At 43.5% G+C, this 15472-nt stretch overlaps 1 long non-coding RNA gene across 1 annotated transcript in view; it reads left to right on the top strand.

The window, feature by feature from the left end:
• Positions 1 to 14777, top strand: part of LOC105371143 (uncharacterized) — a 29652-nt gene extending 14875 nt beyond the window's left edge. The window contains exons 2-4 of the long non-coding RNA XR_950928.3: positions 1190 to 1417; positions 8463 to 8559; positions 13406 to 14777. This is a non-coding gene — a long non-coding RNA (uncharacterized LOC105371143). The remainder of the gene's footprint in view (positions 1 to 1189; positions 1418 to 8462; positions 8560 to 13405) is intronic.
• The last annotated feature ends 695 nt before the right edge of the window (positions 14778 to 15472 follow it).

Raw genomic sequence — 15472 nt, 5'->3', positions numbered from 1 at the left:
GCATGTGTGTGTGTGTGTCTGTGGGTGAAAGAGAGAGAGAGAGATTGGGAGAGAGAGAGAGAGAGATTGGGAGAGAAAGAGAGAGAGAGAGAGGAAGGACAAGGGTCAGGTAAGTGTGTCCTGTCTCCCTCCCTCTGGATCAAAACTCCTGCTGGGTGGGGTGAGAATGTGTAGTAGCAAAAACTGGAGACATATGGGGGAATCCTCAAGCAGTGGGGTATGGGCCCCAGTCCCCATTTGAGACTCTGGGATGCAAATGAGTCATCGGAAGCCCTGCACCAGCACAGAGTGGCTGCATTAGAGGAACACTGGTGGTGTCGTGTGTTTATGTAGAGAGGGCTTTCACTGGTGCCTTGGGTCTCTGTCAATTCCTGAGTGCCTGGGAATACCTCCAGCACTCCCCTCCACCATTACCAAGAGAGACAAAGAAAGTAATTGAATGTACTAGCTGTCTTTTTATTTTTTATTTTTAGTTTTTTAGAGACAGGATCTTGCTCTGTCACCCAGGCTGAAGTACTGTGGTGTGATAACAGCTCACTGCAGCCTCGACCTTCAGAGCTTAGGTGATCCTCCTGCCACAGCCTCCTGAGTAGCTGGGACTACAGGCATGTGCCACCGTGCTCAGCTAGTTTAAAAAATATTTTTTGTGGCCAGACGCGGTGGCTCATGCCTATAATCCCAGCAATTTGGGAGGCCGAGACGGGCGGATCACCTGAGTTCGGGAGTTAGAGACCAGCCTGACCAACATGGAGAAACCCCGTCTCTACTAAAAACACAAAATTAGCCAAGCGTGGTGGTGCATGCCTGTAATCCCAGCTACTCGGGAAGCTGAGGCAGAGAATCGTTTGAACCCGGGAGGCGGAGGTTGCAGTGAGCCGAGATTGCACCATTGCACTCCAGCCTGGGTAACAAGAGTGAAACTCTGTCTCAATATATATATATATATACACATATATATATATATATATGTGTATATATATATATATATGTGTATATGTATATATATATATGTGTATATGTATATATATATATGTATATATATATATGTATTTTTGTAGATACAAGGACTTACTATGTTGCCCAGGCTGTTCTCGAATGCCTGGCTTCAAGCACTCCTCCCACCTTGGCATCCCAACGTGTTGGGATTACAGGTGTGAGCCACTGCACCCAACCTGTCTTTTTATTATAGGGTCAACATAGGACTGTGTAGCCAAGAGCTACAGGATGGATTGCTGAGGCCAGGGAGATTGAAAGGAAGTCACAGCCCAATCTCAGAGGGATCCACGGAGCCAGCGAAAGCTAAGGCGGGACTTACCCAACAGAGGGTCCTGGCCCAGTCACCCAGTGGCACAACCCAACTGGGAGATCTGAGCATCTACCAACTGTGGCCACCAGTGAGATGGTGTCATTGTCTGGGGTAAATACCGGGGGTTTGTTGTCTCATGCCAAGGAAATCGAGTTTGCGGACACAAGAATTGGGTTTAGGAGCAGAGGTTTAATAGGCAAAAGAAAGAGAAAGGGTAACAGTAGGAGAGAGAGGAGTGCGCCAGTGGGACTTCTGACCCACGATGGAGTGCATTGGATTTTATAGACAGGCTTGAGGAGGCAGTGTCTGATTGACACAGGGCCCACAGATTGGTTGGACCAGGTGTGAGTTTTACATAGCGTGTGGGGAAGCTGGCCACGCCACCCTAATCTTATTATGCAAATAGGCTTTCCACTTGGCCGGCACCATGTTGTCTGCTGCCTAATGCACATGTGGTTGGAAAGGGAAAGGGAAGATGCAGCTGCCATTTTGAACATGCCTAGTCCCAGGTAGCCTTTTCCTATTGACACAGCTGCCGCATTCACCCGTGCAAGCTTCTGTGTCTGCAGCTCAATTTTACAGGCTGCTGTTTGTTAGAAAAGAAATGATTCAGGGGCTGCTTTTCATTAAAAGGAAACCTTACTGAGGACTTCCTTACCCTCACTGTCTGCCTAAATAATTTCTTCTTTACTCCTATATCACCGGCATCAGAGGCCAGCAGAAGTCTCAGTGATCGGGCAGGACAAAGGACATTTCTGCAGAGAATACTGAAGGTCCAGGAGACAGCACAGTGGGACATATGTGGGCCCCTGCCCCATCATTAGGAGGAAGTGTAGGCTTTTCTGAGGACCTGGATGCCATACCATCTTGAGACAGAGAATGAGGAACCAACCCTTGACAAGAGAGAGATGGCCCTGGTAGAGAATTTGAACCTTGAATTGGATTGAATATTTATCCAAAAGAAATTGAACCAGCACTAGAGAGACTGTTTTGAACTAGAAGTAACCAAGTTACCTTAACTGGAAGTTAGGATTTTTCCACCCCTGACATCAGTGGGACAAGGGCACATGAGCAAGATATTTACGGACAAAGAAGAACGTTCATGTTTTGTACACCTGCTTTGTAGTATGTTGCAGATACCGTTGGTTCCCCTGATTTCAGGTGTTCTCGTTCTTTCTGTACAGTCACTTGCTCAGGGCAAATGGTCCTCTCCTGCATGACTCAGAAGCACATACTGATTATTCTAAACTGGTCTTCATGCCCCGTTCCCTTGTCAGTGATGTAGTTAGGCAAAGGATTATGTAACAATTCTGGCTATGAGACATTGAAACTTCTACTGTGGGGCATCTGGGAAGATTTTTCTCATTGAAAAGAAGAGACGCAGGGTGTGGAGACTCATGCCTGTAATCCGAGCCCTTGGGAGGCCCAGGAGGGAGGGTCACCTGAGTCCAAGAGCTCAAGGCCAGTTCGAGCAACATACCAAGGCTGCAATAAACAAGCAAACAAACAAACAAACATTAGCTGGGCACGGTAGTGCACACCTGTAGTCCCAGCTACTCAGGAGGCTGAAATGGGAGGATTGCTTGAGCCCAGGAGTTTGAGGCTGCAGTGAGCTATGATTGCACCACTGCACTTCAGCCTGGGCAACAGAGCGAGATCCTGTCTCTATAAAAAAATTTTAAAAAAAGGAAGAAAAGAAAAGAAGAGACACACGTGGAAGAAACAGTCTCTATTCTGATGCAAGTAATGACTGGAACTGTGGCAGACAGCTTGGAACCATGAGAGGAGTTAACTGAGGGCTATCAGGGAAACTAGAAGAAGCCTGGGTCCTTGAGGAGGCAGACTACTAAATGGACCATCGTCCCTTCACCCTTTTTGTTATGTGAGATAATAAACTCTCTAATTTAAATCTACTTGAGATGAATATCTGATACTTGTAGCCAAAATCATCCTTAATGGGACAGAGTGTGGGTAAATTATCAACCTTGCTAGCCTTGCCTCATAATTTTTGAATTTATTTTTATCTTTTAATTTTGTTTATTTTTTATTTTTAAAGTAGAGACAGGATCTCATTATGTTGCTCAGGCTGGTCTCGAATCCCTGGCCTCAAGGGATCCTCCTGCCTCAGCCTCCTAAAGTGCTGAGATTACAGGTATGAGCCCCTATGCCAGGCCATTGCTTTGCCATTGTATCCATGTGATTGCAAAAAAGAAAATCGTGCTAATAGTCATTAGCTTTGAAAGACACTTGGAATTTCTTCCTTCAAGCGAGCTTTATTCCCAAACTGTTGAACCCTCTGGGTTTGACAGCAGGATCTACTTCACATGGTAGCATCTCCTTCTATTTGCCTTCAAGACATTTCCTAAGGGAAGAGATGAAGACACACTTGTAACGTGAACAAAATAATCCTTTTTCCTTTTAAAAATGTATGATTAAAATGTAAAATATATATATATATTCTTAAATGTAAAATATATATATATATCTTCTAGAGTTGCCTGGAAAGTGAGCTGAGAGCAGTTAAACATCAAACCCACTGCTGCTTTCCAGCTTTAACCAGAATCACCATTGTCTTTCCCTATGAAAGAAAGGAAATCTTAGAACTTAAAAGGATTTCAAGAAGAACTGAATTTTAACCACTGAGATGACCAGAGATGTAAGGCTCACACTGACTGAAGCAGTATAATTTGGCTGTCTTTTTAACATTCAGAATTCTCTCTGACTCTCCAAAATTGCATCTACTTTGATGAGCTTATTTTTTTCCTCAACCAAATTACATTTCTTGGAGTTCACCTGATACATCATGCCTACTTACTTTTTTTTTTAGATGGAGTCTTGCTCTGTCACCCAGGCTGGAGTGCAGTGGTGCAATCTCGGCTCATTGCAACCTCTGCCTCCCAGGTTCAAGTGATTCTCCTGCCTCAGCCCCCCAAGTAGCTGGGATTACAGGTGCGTGCCACCACGCCCAGCTAATTTTTGTATTTTTAGTAGAGACAGGGTTTCGCCATGTTGGTCAGGCTGGTCTCGAACTCCTGACCTCAAGTGACCCACCTGCCTTGGCCTCCCAAAGCGCTGGGATTACAGGGGTAAGCCACCATGTCCAGCCCTGCCTACTTACTTTGAACAAATTATTTCAGGCTAATTTACTAGCTGGAGAGAAAGAGGGAGGGAAGCAGGGAGGAAGCAAAGATAGAGGGAGAGAAAGAGAGGGAGACAGAGAGGAAGAGGGAGAGGGAGAGGAGAGAGAGAGAAAGAATGAATTGTGTTCTCCCAAAATTAGTATGTTGAAGTCTTAATATCCCAGTACCTCAGACTATGACTGTATCTGTAGATAGGGCTTTTGAAAAGGTGATTATGTTTAAATGAGGCCATTGGGGTGGGCCCTAATCCAGTCCAACTGTTGTCATTGTAAGAAGAAGAGATTAGGACACAGAGATACCAGGCATGTGCGTGCCCAGACAGACAACTATGTGAAGAGACAACAATAGGTCAGCCATCTGCAAGCTGAGGAGAGAGGCCTCAGAGGAAACCAACCCTGCCGGCACCTTGATCTTGGAGTTCCAGCCTCCAGAACTGTGAGAAAATGTATTCCTGTTGTTGAAGCCATTTCTGTTGTTCTGTGGCATTTTGTTATGGCAGCCCTAGCAAACTAATATGATAATTAACTCTTCCAAGTGCTGTTTCCATTACAAAGTATCCCAGAATTTTATATTGGTGAATCTGTGTTCCTCAGGCCATGTCTTCCCTGTTGGAAATGCTGTTATTATGTCCCAAGGTGACTTCAAGGAGTGGGTTAGAGGCTGAGACAGAGGGTGTGAGATCGTCACTACTGTAACCTTGCTTTGTTCAGTATGAACATGCTCAGATATTCTCTGTTTTGTATTGGGAGATCGGGAAAGGATTTATTGAAAAAATGTTTCCATTAGCAAATGAAGTTTGAAGGCAACTACCGTCTACAAGAGCAAACAAATGCATAAAATTCAAATATTATTTTGTCCCAACCTCAGTGTCATGAGGGTCTCTTATACAGAATAGTAGATGAGAATAAAATTTGAATTGATAATACTGGAATAGAGTAGTCATTATGCAATGTAACAAACCTCAAATATTCAGTGGTTTAACACTATAGATGTTTATTTACCACTCATTCAATGTATGTGTTCCTTGTTAGCAGTAGTTTTCCTTGTAGTCATTCAGGAATCCAGGCATATTAGTTATCTATTTCTGTGTACCCCATAAAAACCATTTATTATTGCACACTTTCAGAGGGTCAGTAATTTGGGAGTGGCTTAGCTGGGGTGTTCTGACCAGAGTCTCTCTTGAGGTTGTAGTCAAGATGTTGGCTAGGGTTGCCATCATCTGAAAGCTTGACTGGGACTGTATCCACTTTCAAGATGGCGCACTTACTTGGCTGTTGGCAGGAAGCCTCAATGACTTATCATGTGGTCTTCTCCACAGTGCTGCTTGAGCATCCACACAACATGGCGCTAGCTTCCCCCAGAGTGAGTAATCCAGAATGAAGAAGACAGAAACCACAATATCCTTTATGAACTGGCCTTATAAGTAATATTTTGTCATTTCCATAAAGTCCTATTGGTTACACAAGACTGCCGTATTCAATATAAGAGTGACAACACATGGGGATAAATACTTGGAGGTGTAAATCATTGGGAACCATCCTGGAAGTTGCCTACAATACTAGGATCTATGGCTACAATTCCCTGGGTCTTGGCTTCAAGACAGAGAAAAGGGAAAGAACATGAAACAGCCCCATGTGGTTTTTGTTTTTTTTTTAATGGACAAGAGTAAGAAATGGTGAACATTTCTTCTACTCATATTCTACAGTTAGAATTTGGTCACATAATGTATCTAACTATGAAGGTAGCTAGGTAATATCATCTCTTGTTGGGAGGGTAGCTGGGAATACCTCTATACAATGGAAGGAAGAGCATGAACTTTTGGTGGAGAGATAATGCTCTCTGCCATGATAAAATGAAAAAAATAACATATGCAGAATGGTCAACATAACAGCATGAAGCAAATGCACAATGAATGATAATCATAATATAGTGCTCTTTTGATAATCTAGTGCATACCCAGAACCTGGGAGGTATTTGGTTTTAATACATGTTTGTTGTATGAATACGTGAGTTAAGGTAATGGATGCAAAAATGGTATAAATAGGAGGAATTATAATTGATATTTCTTGAGTTAGCATGTTTCATTGGCTATCTTTATGGAGGTCCAGACCCTCCTCCGAAGGTGGATATTACTGTTCCGATTTCAATTGGTCAAATAGAGACCAAGAGACTTTAGGCAACTTGTTTTAGATTTGGCACTGAATGGCGGGAAAGTGCAGATTTTCTGAGTACTATGTCTGGGCTCTTTGCTATAAGCACTATTGATTTGAATGGATAAGAACAGAAAAGTCCTTTGCTCAGAGGAGAATCAGGGCCACTGTATCAGTCAGGGTCCAATCAAGAGGCAGAAACTATACCAGTTATTTAATTTCATTTATTTATTTATTATTATTTTTTAGAGATGTGGTCTTGCTGTGTTGCTCAGGCTGTTCTCGAACTCCTGGGCTCAAGCAATCCACCTGCCTTGACCTCCCAAACTGCTGGGATTACAGGTGTGAGCCACTGTGCCTGGCCCCGTACCAGTTATTTTAACAGAGAGAATTTAGTATGGCCCAGGCGCAGTGGTTCAAGCCTGTAATCCCAGCACTTTGTGAGGCTGAGCAGGGAGGATCACTTGGACCCAGGAGTTTGAGACCAGCCTGGGCAACATATTGAGAGTCCACTTAAGAAAAAGAATTTAATATAAAGAACTTTTTTCTTTTCTTTTTTTTTTTTTTGAGATAGATGGAGTCTCACTCTGTTGCCCAGGCTGGAGTGCTGTGGCGTGATCCCAGCTCACCGCAACATACGCCTCCTGGAATCAAGCACCTCTCCCGCCTCAGCCTCCGGAGCAGCTGGGATTACAGGCACTCGCTAACACGCCTGGCTAATTTTTGTATTTTAGTAGAGGCAGGGTTTCACCATGTTGACCAGGCTGGTCTCAAACTGCTGACCTCAAGTGATCCCCTGTCCTCGGGCTCCCAAAGTGCTGGGATTACAGGCATGAGCCACCACGCCTGGCCGAGAATTGTTAACTAGGAATCAAGTTGATAACCAGGCAACTAAAAAGGAAAAAAAAACAACAAAACAAAACCAACCCAACAACAATATTAATGTATCACAGAAGAAGCAACTGAAGGAAACAGCTATACTCAGAGGTCTGGGGGAACAATGAGAAAAGGTTGGCATTAACACTTAGAATCAGCCAAGTGCAGTGGCTCATATCTGTAATCCCAGAGACTCAGGAGACCAAGGTGGGAGGATTGCTTGAAGCCAGGAGTTTGAGACTAGACTGGGCAACATAGTGAGACCCTGTCTCTACAAAACATAATAAAATTGGCCAGGCAGAGTGGCATTCACCTGTGGTCCCAGCTACTCGGGAGGTTGAGGTAGGAGGATCACTAGAGCCCAGTTACAGTGAGTATGACTCACTGTAACTACACTCCACTACACTCCAGCCTGGGAGACAGAGTGAGACCCTGTCTCAAACAAACAAACAAACAAACCAAAAAATCACTAGAATAATAGGAGAAAAGTGCCCTGCAAACTGAAACTCAGATCTCTAAGGAGGGACGGGGGTTGGAGTCTTTGAGGGGTGCAATTAGACTGGTTCTGCCAGTGTTAGGAAAACTGCAAACTGGATTGAGATGCTGCTATGGGAAGGAACTGCCATTGCAGGAGAAAGGAAGCCTTGCTAGGAGAGTGTTCACAGGAACAGAAAGAGCAAGTTCCTTTTTCCTCCAGCCTTGCAGTTCCCCTCTAACACCCCCATGGGTAGAACCTCACAGGAAGCAGCTGGAACAGCAGAAATATGCTTTTCCCAATTCCAACTCTTGTATCACAAAGCAGAATACAGAAGGTTGGGTTTGGAGTTGAGAGATAACAACTAAATAATAGCTGGCACAAGGCCCACCTGATCAGAAATTAATCTCACCTCCTTGGGGATAAGGGCTTTGGGTGGGAGGAAAGGAGGCTCTTGAACTCATGGGCATTGAGCACGTGACTAGTTGTCTTAGAGAAAATGTGCCACCCTGCAGGGCCGCCTGAAAGCTTGTACAAGTGCCTGAGGAAAGCCGGATTTGGCAGGCTGCAACCACGGTGGATGACAGCTGAAGGAGAATTACAGCAGCAGCAGTTAAGTAGAAGATGTTCACACTTCCTCGCTCTGCATCTTTCTTCCTGGAGCCCAACACCTCGGAGGAGAATGGGAAACCCAGAAGAAGGAGTGGGAAGTAGGGTTGCCACATAAAATATAGGACTCTCAGTTACATTTGAATTTCAGATAAGCAGCAGATTATTTCTTAGTATAAGTATGTGCCAGTATGTGTGTATGTGCACACATATGTGCACATGTATGCATGCATCAGCTAGATTCTGCAACCATCAGAGAAATAGACAAAGGTCCTTTTGACCAGTGGTCAAACTGAGCTATGAGGAGAAGATCTTGAAATTGCATGTGATATTGAAGCTTTAAACTTACTGAGTTGCTTGTGTTAGGCTTTTAAATACCGTAATGGGACTAAAAACTATGTTTCTAAGAGAGAGGAATATTTGGGAGTACAGCTGACCCTTGAACAATGCAAGGCTTAGAGGCATTGTCAAAAATCCACATGTAACTTTTGACTCCACAAACATTTAACTATTTTTCTTGTCTTTTTTCTTTTTTTTTTTTTGAGATGGAGTCTCACTCTGTCTCCCAGGCTGGAGTGCAGTGGGGTGATCTCAGCTCACTGCAACCTTCACCTCCCAGGTTCAAGCAATTCTCAAGCCTCAGCCTCCTGAGTAGCTGGGATTACAGGTGTGCACAAAGATGCCTGGCTAATTTTTGTATTTTCAGTAGAGATGGGGTTTCACCATGCTGGCCAGGCTGGTCTTGGACTCCTGACCTCACGTGATCTGCCCACCTTGGCCTCCCAAAGTGCTGGGATTACAGGCATGAGCCACGGCATCTGCCCAAAAACTGAACTATTAGTAGCCTACTGTTGACTGGAAGTCTTACTGATAACATAGTCAATTAACACATGTTTTGTGTTATATGTATTATATACTATATTCTTACAATAAAGCAAGCTAGAGAAAATAGAATATTAAGAAAATCATAAGGAAAATATATTTAGGATTCTTTTTTTTTTGAGATGGAGTCTTGCTGTGTCACCCAGGCTGGAATGCAGTGGTCAGCCTTCCAACGTGCTGAGATTACAGGCGTGAGCCACTATGCCCGGCCATATTTACTATTCATTAAGTGGAAGCGGATCATCATAGATGACTTCATCCTCATCCTCTTCACACTGAATAGGGTGAAGAGGAGGAGGAAGAGGAGGGGTTGGTCTCACTGTCTCAAGGGTGGCAGAGGCAGAAGAAAATCCAGGTAGAAGTGGACCCAAGCAGTTCAAATCCATGCTGTTCAGGGGTCAACTGGGTCAACTGTGTAGTTAAAGGTAGTGAGTAGTTGGAGAAAAATGAAACTGCTTTCGTGTTTATACCTTCACTGAGTTCAGACCTCGTAATAAACTGGGTATCTGTATGTGTGACAAACAATAGAGGAGATGTGTGTGCAGGGTGTTCAAGGGGCTTTTGCATCTTTGCTGGTGATCACAAATAGGGCTTTAATTCTTGGACTTGAAGAGCTGCAGGAGCCATTGAAAGGATACATGGAGCTAGTTGAATACCACATTATCATTTAGCAAGTGATATTTAGCTCTATTCCTGTGGATGAACCCTGATTAGGATCTTAAGTTTGTATGTTGTTGGAGATTATTCTTGTTTGTCTTGGAAATGAACATTCATTCATTCGTTCTGGTGCCTAGCATAGACAATAAATCACAATTCAAATAATGAAAAATTATATATTTATTTATTAAGCATCTACTGCATGTAGGTTCTGTGTTAGATGCACAAAAATGAATACCATAAAATCCTTTACTAAAACGCCATTCCTGTCTTTGAGTGGAAAATGTAGCAGCTACGGGAATTAAGTTATATGGTAGCATGTGTGGTTACCTACTTGACGGAGACAGAATCCACATTATCAGGTGTGGTCAGATGAGGGATTCTCTGCCTGGAGAAGTTGTCATGGACAAGGTAGGATTTAATTTAGGTTGTAAAAGAATACCAGGATTTAGGGACTCCTAAAGACAGAGACTGTATATCCCTCATCAGATCAGCCACTCTTTTCTTTTTTTTTTTTTTTTTTTTTGAGACAGTTTCGCTCTTGTTGCCCAGGCTTGATTGCAATGGTGCGATCTCGGCTCACTGCAACCTCCACCTCCTGGGTTCAAGCGATTCTCCTGCCTCAGCCTCCCGAGTAACTGGACTACAGGCGCCTGCCACCACACCCAGCTAATTTTTTGTATGTTTAGTAGAGGTGGGGTTTCACTATGTTGGCCAGGCTGGTCTCGAACTCCTGACCTCAGACAATCCCCCCGCCTCGGCCTCCCAAAGTGCTGGGATTACAGGCGTGAGCCACTGTGCCCAGCCAACCAGATCAGCCATTCTAAGGCCAAGAGTTGCATTACTCTTTTCTCTGTTTCTTGGAAACATGACTGGAGGACTTGCTGTAAAAAATATTAAGACTTATTATGATAAAGCTATGGTAATAACAAGGTGTAGTGTTAGAATGAACCTGGGCAACATGGCAAAATCTTGTCTGTGAAAAATATCAAAAATTAGGTCAGGTGCGGTGGCTCACGCCTGTAATCCCAGCACTTTGGGAGTCTGAGGCAGGCAGATCACCTGAGGTCAGGAGTTCTAGACCAGCCTGGCCAACATGGTGAAATCCTGTCTCTACTAAAAATAAAAAAAAAATTAGCCAGGCGTGGTGTCGCATTTCTGTGGTCCCAGATATTTGGGAGGCTGAGGCAGGAGAATCACTTGAACCTGGGAAGTGGAGGTTGCAGTAAGCCGAGATCGTGCCATTGTGCTCCAGCCTGGGTGACAGAGAGACACTTAATCACAAAAAAAAAAAAAAAAAAAAAAAAAAAAATTGGTTGATAAGCCTGGCCAACATGGTAAAACTCTGTGTCACTACTAAAAATACAACAATCAGCTGGGCGTGATGGCATGCGTCTGTAATCCCAGGTAACTGGGAGACTGAGGTGGGAGGATTGCTTGAGTCCAGGAGTTCGAGGCTGCAGTGAGCCGTGCACTCCAGTATGGGTGACAGAGGGAGACCCTGTCCCAAAATAAAAAATAAATAAATAAAAAAGCCTAGAAAAACAAAGACAAATAGAGCAATATAGCAGAAAAGGAAGCCCAGAAACAGACTCAATATATGGACAGTTGATTTATCACAAGAGGGACTCAGCAGAACTTTAAGAAAGGACAGTCTTTTTTGTAAATGGTATAGAGAAAATTGGATATCAATATGGAGCAGAAATAAAATTGGACACCTACATCATACTTACACAAAAATCTATTCCAGGAAGATAATAGACCTATTTTTTGGAAGGCAAAATAATAAAGTGTTTAGATGACAACATGAGAAAATGTCTTCCTGACCTCATGATACAGAAAGATTTCTTAAAGAATATACAAATCACCAATTATAAATGAAGAGGTCAATAAATTTGGCTATGTTCAAGTTAAGAACTTCTGCTTATTAAAAGAAATGATTAAGGGCCGGGCGTGGTGGCTCACACCTGTAATCCCAGCATTTTGGGAGGTCGAGGCGGGCAGATCACCTGAGGTTAGGAGTTCCAGACCAGCCTGGCCAACATGGTGAAACCCCGTCTCTACTAAAAATACAAACTTAGCTGGGTGTAGTGATGCATGCCTGTAATCCCAGCTACTCGGGAGGCTGAGGCAGAAGAATTGCTTGAACCCGGGAGGCGGAGGTTGCAGTGAGCTGAGATCATGCCATGGCACTCCAGCCTGGGTGACAAGAGCGAAACTCCATCTCAAAGAAAAAAAAATAATAATATATAAAAAAATACATGATTAAGAAAGTGAAATGGTCCCAGCACTTTGGGAAGCCAAGGCAGGAGGATAGCTTGAGGCCAGGAGTTCAAGACCAGCCCGGGCAACATAGTGAGACACTAATTAAAAAAAAAAAAAGTGAAAAGGTAAGCCACATGGTGGAAAATGTTTGTAAAACACATGAACAATGGCTTTATATGCAGAATATAAAAAGTACTACCTAGGCTGGGCATGTTGCTATGTGCTTGTGGTCCCAGCTAATCAGGAGAGTGAGGCAGGAGGATCATTTGAGCCCAGGAGTTTGAACTGTAGTGCACCATGATCACACCTGTGATTAGCCACTGTACTTCAGCTTGAGCTTGGGCAATATAGCAGAACTTCATCTCTAGAAAAAAAAAAGTATTCTTACAGGACAGGAGTGGTGGCTCATGCCTGTAATCCCAGCACTTTGGGAGGCCGAGGCAGGAGGATCACTTGAATCCAGGAGTTCAAGACCAGCCTAGGCAACATAGGAAGACCCCATCTCTACAAAAAATAAAACATTAGCCAGGAATGGTGCCTGCCTGTGGTCTCAGCTCTTTGGGAGGCTGAGGCAGGAGAAATGCTTGAGTGGAAGGTGGAGGCTGCAGTGAGCCATGATTGTGCCACTGCACTCCAGCCTGGGTGACAGAGCAAGGCTCTGTCTCAAAAAAAAAAAACAAAAAACAAAACAAAACAAAAAAAACAAAACAAAAACCCCAAACACTCAAGCACTCATACAGCTCCACAGAAAAAATGACCAAAATACTTACAAAAGAAGAAATTCTGATGGCCAACACAAATGAAAAGGTGCTCCACATATTAGTAATCAGCGAAAAGCAAACGAACACCACAATGAATGTGCTAGCCAGACTTCAGGATGGCTCCCAGTGATCCCTGCCACCTTGTGTTCACACCCTCCCATATTGCACTACAGTTGGTTTGTGTGATCAACAGAATATGGCAGATGTGGTGGTATGTCACTCCTGAGTTGAGGTCATAAAAGAAACCACCTTGATTTCTCATTCTCTCTTTCTCTCTCTCACAGATCAGTTGCTCTGGGGGAAGCCAGCTGTCATGTGACAAACAGCTCTCCACAGAGGATTATGGGGCATGTAACTGAGGCCTCCAGCCAGCGGCCACGTCAGTGAGTTTGGAAATAGGTCCTCTAGCCCAGTTGAGCCTTCAGAAGACGACATGAGGATTTGCTGCAGTTCTGCCCAACATCTTGATTTCAAGCTCATGAGACAGCCTAAGCCCAAACCACCCAGCTAAGCCATTCCTAGATTCCTGACCCAAAGAAACTATGTGAGATTATGTGTCTGGTATTTTAAGCACTAAGTTCTGGGATAATTTGTTTTGAAGCAATAGTTAAGAAATACAATGAGATAACACTAAACGCAATGAGAGAGCACTAAACACTATACTTGGTGTAGATAAGGTCATGGAGCCACAGGAATGCTCATTTTGTGCTAGTGGAAAAGGAAATTGGAAAAACCATTTTGCAATGTATAACCAGGTGGCAATATCTACAGTTTTAAAGCTATGCCTATTATATGATCTCACAGTTCCACTTCTAGGTATATAGTGCATGATCCTGTGCACAGGAGACATGCACATGAATATTCATAGCAGGAATGTTTGTAGTAGCCTCAAATTGGAAACCATCCACATATCCATCAGTAATGGAATGGATAAATAAGTTTTGGTAGCAGTTGAGCCTTGAACAACACGAGTTTAAACTATGTGGGTCCACTTAATATGCACATTTTCTGGGTCCACTTATATGCAGATTTTCTTCTACCTCTGCTACCCCTGAGATGGTAAGACCATCTTCCTTGATCCACTTCCACAGTAAATACATTTTCTCTTTCTTATGATTTTCTTAATATCATTTTCTTTTCCCTAAGCTTACTTGATTGTAAGTGTACAGTATGTGATAAAAATAACATGCAAAATATGTGTTAATCAACTGTTAATGATCAGTTAATACTTCTGGTGAACAGTAGGCTGTAAGTAGTTAAGTTTTGGGGAAGTCAAAAGCATATGCAGATATTTGACTGTGTGGGGTGTTGGTATCCCTAACCTCGTGCATTGTTCAAGGGTCAATTGTATTTGTACAATAAAATGTTATACAGCAAGGGTTGGAAGATTTGTTCTGTTAAGGGCCAGAGAGTCAATATTTTAGGCTTTAAGGGCTGTACAGTCTCTGTCATACCTAGTCAACTCTGCTGTTGTAGTATGTAAGCAGCCACAGAGAATAGGGAAATGAATAAGCATGGCTATATTTCAATTATACTTTATTTACAAAACAGATGGGGAACTGGATTTGGCACAGGGGCCACAGTTTTCTGACCATTACTCTATAATATTGAGAGTAAAAGGGGCCAGGTGCAGTGGCTCACATCTGTGATCCCAGCACTTTGGGAGGCTGAGGCAGGAGGATTGCTTGAGGCCAGTAGATCAAGACCAGTCTGGGCAACATGGCGAGACCCCATGATATGGTTTGGATGTGTGTCCCTCCTCAAATCTCATGTCAAATTGTAATTCCCAGTGTTGGAGGAGAGGCCTGGTGGGAGGTGATTGGATCATGGGGACAGGCTTTCCCCTTGCTGTTCTTGTGATAGTGAGTTCTCATGAGATCTGGTTGTTTAAAAGTGTGTGGCACCTCCCCCTTCTCTCTCTTCTTCCTGCTCTGGCCACATAAGACAAGCCTACTTCCACTTCACCTTCTGTCATGATTGTAAGTTTCCTGAGGCTTCCCCCACCATGCTTCCTGTAGAGCCTACAGAACCATGAGCCAATAAACCTCTTTTCTTTATAAATTACCCAGTCTCAGGTATTTCTTCATAGCAGTGTGAGAATGGACTAATATACCCCATCTCTACAAAAAAATTTAAAAAATTAGCCAGGTGTGGTGGTGTGTGCTTGTGGTCCCAGCTACTTGGGAGGCTGAGATGGGAGGATCTTTTTAGCCCAGGATGTGGAGGCTGCAGTGAGCCATGCTCAGGATTTTAGTCTGTTCTCACGCTGCTAATAAAGACATACCTGAGACTGGGTAATTTATAAAGGAAAGAGGTTTGATGGACTCACAGTTCCACGTGGCTGAGGAGGC

This window comes from Homo sapiens, chromosome 16 (assembly GCF_000001405.40).
Source record: "Homo sapiens chromosome 16, GRCh38.p14 Primary Assembly".
In the NCBI taxonomy this organism is placed as follows: domain Eukaryota; kingdom Metazoa; phylum Chordata; class Mammalia; order Primates; family Hominidae; genus Homo; species Homo sapiens.
This window is presented reverse-complemented; position numbering and strand designations above follow the sequence as displayed.